Source organism: Homo sapiens, chromosome 12 (genome assembly GCF_000001405.40).
Source record: "Homo sapiens chromosome 12, GRCh38.p14 Primary Assembly".
NCBI classification, from domain to species: Eukaryota; Metazoa; Chordata; class Mammalia; order Primates; family Hominidae; genus Homo; species Homo sapiens.
Window position 1 is genome coordinate 47291649 of NC_000012.12, and position 6000 is coordinate 47297648.

Consider the following 6000-nt stretch of genomic DNA (forward strand, 5'->3'; position numbering starts at 1 on the left):
AAATTTCTATTAGCCCCTTAATACAAATTTTTGTTTTAAGCACTGTTTTAAGCAAGTCAAACCTTAAAACTTAGGAAAGAGAATTTGAGCCATCACTGGAATTTAAAATACGTTTTTTAAATGCACATGGAATTATCTTAATGATATTAAATGGCTTTGCTATAAATAATCTTCTAAGGAACTTACATAAAAAGCTTTTAGGTAATTAAAGCCAATTTTTGACACTTTTTCTTTAATCAGAAAGGGTTTTGATTGAAGCAGAAAACAGACTGAGCTTCCTGACTGGGATTGTATGTTCAGTGTCCTGTAGCCCCACTCAGCCAGTCAGCATCACTTTCTAGCCTGCCCGTCACTGTGCAGACGAGGAAACTGAGACTCCTCTTCCATGCTGAGTAGCTAAATCATGATCTTGATTTGAATAAAATGAAAGCTCTTGAGGGCAATTCATTACTTCAACTCTTTACTAATTGTGTTAATATTAAAAATATAGTGGCTGGGCGCAGTGGCTGACGCCTGTAATCCCAGCACTTTGGGAAGCTGAGGTGGGCAGATCACAAGGTCAGGAGATCGAGACCATCCTGGCTAACAAAGTGAAAACCCATCTCTACTAAAAATGCAAAAAAATTAGCCGGGCATGGTGGCAAGCGCCTGTAGTCCTAGCTACTTGGGAGGCTGAGGCAGGAGAATCGCTTGAACCGGGGAGGTGGAGGTTGCAGTGAGCCGAGATTGCACCACTGCACTCCAGCCTGGGCAACAGAGAGAGACTCTGTCTCAAAAAAAAGAAAGAAAGAAAAAAAAAATATATATATATATATACGCATATATGAATGTTAAGAGGAATAAGGTGCTAAATTATTCTTCCTAATAAAACTAACATTAAACGTTTTTTAAAAATTCACTTTTCTTCAACTTTTTTTGAGAAATACAATCAAATACAGAAAAATGCATAAAATAAATGTACAACTTAACAAATTGTGATATGGGCACCTACAAAGCCACCATTAGGTTAAGAAATAAGTTATTTTTAACACCCCAGAGGTCCTCCCTTCCTTACCTTTCCTAGAGGTAACAGCTATCCCGGCTTGGATAATAATCAACTGTTGTTTTGCTTTAGAGTTTTGCCACCTAAATATGCACTCCTAAAGAACATGCTGGTTGGCCGGGCGCGGTGGCTCATGCCTGTAATCCCAACACTTTGGGAGGCCGAGGCAGGCGGATCACGAGATCAGGAGATCGAGACCGTCCTGGCTAACATGGTGAAACCTCGTCGCTACTAAAAATAAAAAATAAAAATAAATTAGCCCGGCGCCAGTAGTCCCAGCTACTCAGGAGGTTGAGGCAGGAGAATGGCGTGAACCTGGGAGGTGGAGCTTTCAGTTACGCTCCAGTCTGGGCGACAAGGCAAAACTCCGTCTCAAAAAAAAAAAAAAAAAAAAAAAAAAGAATATGTTTGTCTTAGTCATGACCTTAGGGAAAAAAATTCAGTATTTTCCACCAAATTTCCTGAGTCTTAAAATCGCAGGTGGCTGATGGTGGTACTTAGCCTCTGTAATTGCATGAGCCAATTTCTCATAATAAATATAAACTTACTATTAAGGGAGGAGACCACCCCTCATATTGTCTTATGCCCAGTTTCTGCCTCCAAAGAAAGAAGTAAAAGCTAAAAGGCAGAAATGAAATCCACAAGCAGACAGCCCGGCGCCACACCCTGGGCCTGGTAGTTAAAGATCGATCCCTGACCTAATCAGTTATGTTATCTATAGATTATAGACATTGTATAGAAAAGCACTGTGAAAATCCCTGTCCCGTTCTGTTCCGTTCTAATTACCGGCGCATGCAGCCCCCAGTCACGTACCCCCTGCTTGCTCAATCAACCACGATCCTCTCACGCGGACCCCCTTAGAGGTGTGAGCCCTTAAAAGGGACAGGAATTGCTCACTCTGGGAGCTCAGTTGTTGGAAACCTGAGTCTCGCGGAAGCGGAAGCTCCCGGCCAAATAAAGCCCTTCCTTTAACTCAGTGTCTAAGGGGTTTTGTCTGCGGCTTGTCCTGCTACACTATATTTGTATTATATATTATTTATGACAATTTATATATATGAGAATTTATGTTATAATTTCATCTTGAGTAAGTTTTGGTAGTCTGTGATCTTCAAAGAATTGTTCCTTTTTATTTAAATGACTGCATACATGTACACAGAGCCATTCGGGTATTTCCTTACTATCCTTTTAATGTCTGTGACGCCTGTAATGATCTTCTTTCTTTCATTCTTGTCACTGGTAATGTGTGTCTTCTCTCTTTCTCCTTCACTGTCTTTTGGTCAATATTGGTATCATGAGGCCAGCAGTTTGAAACCAGCCTGGCCAACATGGTGAAACCCCGCCTCTACTAAAAATACAAAAAATTAGCTGGGTGTAGTGGCGGGCGCCTGTAATCCCAGCTACTCAGGAGGCTGAGGGAGGAGAATCACTTCAGCTTGGGAGGCAGAGGTTGCGATCAGCCGAGACTGCGCCACTGCACTCCAGCCTGGGTGACAGAGTGAGACTCTGTCTCAAAAAAATAATAAATAAATAAATAAATAAATAAATAAATAAATAAATTTATTTATTTTGTTGATGTTTCCAAAGAGACAGCTTTATGGTTTTTTTTTTTCCTGTTTCAATTTTATTGATTTCTTCTTTCGTCTTCATTATTTCCTTTCTTTCACTTGCTTTGGGTTTATCTTGCTCTTTTTGTGTTTAGTTTCTTAGGTGGAAGCTTAAATCACTGATTTAAGACCTTTTTTTTTTTCAGTGACAACCACTGTTAACATGATGGCTTGTTCCATTTACTCAGTGTGTGTACATGCATGTTTGCATGTAAATCTTTTATTTTATAAAATTGAGATCATAAAAATATTCTGGGTTTTTGCTTTTTAAACAATTTCTTTAAAAAAAATTTTTTTTTAATTTTTGGATTCAAGGGGTGCATGTGCAGGTTTGTTACATGTTTACATGATGCTGAGGTTTGGGGTACCAATAGTCCCATCCCTCAGGTACTGAGTATAGGGCCCAATAGGTAGTTTTTTAAGCCCATTCCTCCCTCCTTTCCCCTGCTAAAAATCCCAGTGTCTACTGTCCATGTGTATTGAATGTTCAGCTCCTACTTATAACTGAGAACATGAGGTATTTGGTTTTCTATTCCTACATTATTAATTTGCTTAGGATAATGGCCTCCAGCTGCAACCATGTTGCTGCAAAGGACATGATTTTGTTCTTTTTAATGGCCACATTCTTTTTGAATGTAAGCATTTAATGACACAATTTCACTCTAAGCACTGCTTGACCTGCATCCCACCATTGTTTCCTTTTAAATAGTCTTTATTTTTGAGTCTCACAAATTTTAATGTTATATATGTTTCTTTGTTCCATTTAAGATCTTTTCTAATTTTCCTCAAGATTTTCTTTTGACTCATGGGCTACTTAGAAGTGTTTTTATGTCCAAGTGTTTGAAGATTTTCCTGTTATCTATTTCTAGTTCTGTTCCACTGTGGTCATAGAACATACTTTTTGTGATTTCAATTCTTTTAAAGTTGTTAAGGTTTGTTTTATTACCTAGGATATGGTCTATCTTGTTTATTGTTCCATATGCAGTTGAAAAAAATGTAATAAGGCGGAGTATATTGATTGAATTATGAATATTGAGCCAGCTTTGGATTCCTGAGATAAAATTCACTTGGTCATGAAGTATTATTCTTAGCATTGTGAACACCCCAAACTTGAGACAGGTCTCAGTTAATTTAGAAAGTTTATTTTGCCAAGGTTGAGGATATGTGCCCATGACACAGCCTGAGGAAGTCCTGACGAACATGTGTCCAAGGTGGACAGGGTACAGCTTGGTTTTACACGTTTTAGGGAGACAGGAAACATCAGTCAATATATGTAAGAAGTACACTGGTTCCCTCCAGAAAGTCAGGGACAACTCAAAGCAGGGAGGGGGCTTCCAGGTCACAGGTAGGTGAGACACAAATGGTTGCATTATTTTGAGTTTCTGATAAGCTTTCTGAAGGAGGCAATCAGGATATGCATCTATCTCAGTGAGCAAAGGGATGACCTTGAATAGAATGGGAGGCAGGTTTGCCCTGAGCAGTTTCCAGCTTGAATTTCCCTTTTAGCTTAGTGATTTTGGGGGCCCAAGATATTTTCCCCTCACAATATCTTTTGCTGAATTCTATTTGTTGATTTTACTAATATTTGTTGTTGGGTAGTTTCCATAAATGTCAAATATATTCAGTTTGTTGGTAATGTTGTTTAGCTCTTCCATATTTTTGCTAATTTTCTCTATACTGTGAAAGAAACATTTAAGTCTCTAAATGTAACTGTGTATTTATATATTTGTCCTTTCAGTTCTTTCCATTTTTGCTTAATGTATTTTGAAACTCTTGTTAGGTGCATACACATTTAAGATTATGTCTTCTTGGTGAATTGATCCTTTTATCATTATGTAATATTCTTATTTATTATTTGTAATATTTTGCTCAGAAGTTTGCTTTGTCTGATATTAATATATCCACACCAGCTTTCTTTTTTTTCTTCCAGCTTTCTTTTGATTAATATTTTCATGGTATATGTCAGGCCTCTGAGCCCAAGCTAAGCCATCATATCCCCTGTGACCTGCACGTATACATCTAGATGGCCTGAAGTAACTGAAGAATCACAAAAGAAGTGAAAATGGCCTGTTCCTACCTTAACTGATGACATTACCTTGTGAAATTCCTTCTCCTGGCTCATCCTGGATCAAAAGCTCCCCCACTGAGCACCTTGTGACCCCCACCCCTGCCAGCCAGAGAACAACCCCCTTGGACTGTAATTTTCCACTACCTACCCAAATCCTATAAAACGGCCCCACCCCTATCTCCCTTCACTGACTCTCTTTTCGGACTCAGCCCGCCTGTACCCAGGTAAAATAAACAGCCTTGTTGCTCACACAAAGCCTATTTGGTGGTCTCTTCACAGGGACGCGAGTGAAAGTATATCTTTTCCCATCCTTTTACTTTTAGCCTACCTATGGCATTATGTTTGAAGTGAGTTTTTTGTAGACAGTATACAGTTTATGGTTATTCATATATTCTGGAAATCTCTGTCTTTTAATTGGTATGTTTAGACAGAGGTCAGCAAGCTACAGCTATAAGCCATATCCAGCCCATTACCTCTTTTTGTAAATAAGGTTTTATTGGATCACAGCTGCACTCATCCACTTATGCATTATAGCCAATGGCTGCTTTTGTGCTACAGTGGCAGAGTTGAATGGTTGTAAAAGCCTGTATACTCACAAAGCCTAATTTACTCTTTAGCCTTTTACAGAAGAAATTTGCCAAGCCTTTGTTTAGACCATTTACATTTAATGTAACTATAGATACATTTTGGTTTAGGGCTAGCATTTAATTTATTTACTGTTCATTCCCTCTGTTTTTGAGTCTTTCTTCTCTTCTGCCTTCTCTTGGGTTGTTTGAACATTTTATAATATTCCATTTAAATTTATCTACCATTTTTTTTCTACATTTCTTTGTATAGCTTTTAAAGCAGCTGTCCTAGGGCTTACATATAAATAACTAACTTTCAACAGTTTTTTTATTTTTTAAAATTTTATTTATTTATTTATTATTATTTTTTGAGACAGGGTTTCTCTCTGTCACTCAAGCTGGAGTGCAGCGGCGCGATCTCGGCTCACTGCAACCTCTGCCTCCCAAGTTGAAGTGATTCTCCTGCCTCAGCCTCCTGAGTAGCTGGGATTACAGGCACCCGCCACTACACCCAGCTAATTTTTTGTATTTTTAGTAGAGGCGGGGTTTCACCATGTTGGCCAGGCTGGTTTCAAACTGCTGGCCTCATGATTCACCTGCCTCAGCCTCCCAAAATGCTGGGATTACGGCGTGAGTCATCGTGCCTGACCTTATTTATTTATTTTTGAGACAGAGTCTCACTCTGTCACCCAGGCTGGAGCACAAGTGATGTGATCTTGA

General features: G+C 38.9%; 1 annotated feature.

Annotated features, from left to right (window-relative positions):
• Window positions 4466–5025: an enhancer, noted in NCBI's record as "NANOG hESC enhancer chr12:47689897-47690456 (GRCh37/hg19 assembly coordinates)". NCBI's record gives its function as "activates a minimal SCP1, AML or CMV promoter by ChIP-STARR-seq in naive H9 embryonic stem cells {active_cell/tissue: H9 hESC(naive)}" and the evidence as "EXISTENCE:reporter gene assay evidence [ECO:0000049][PMID:30033119]".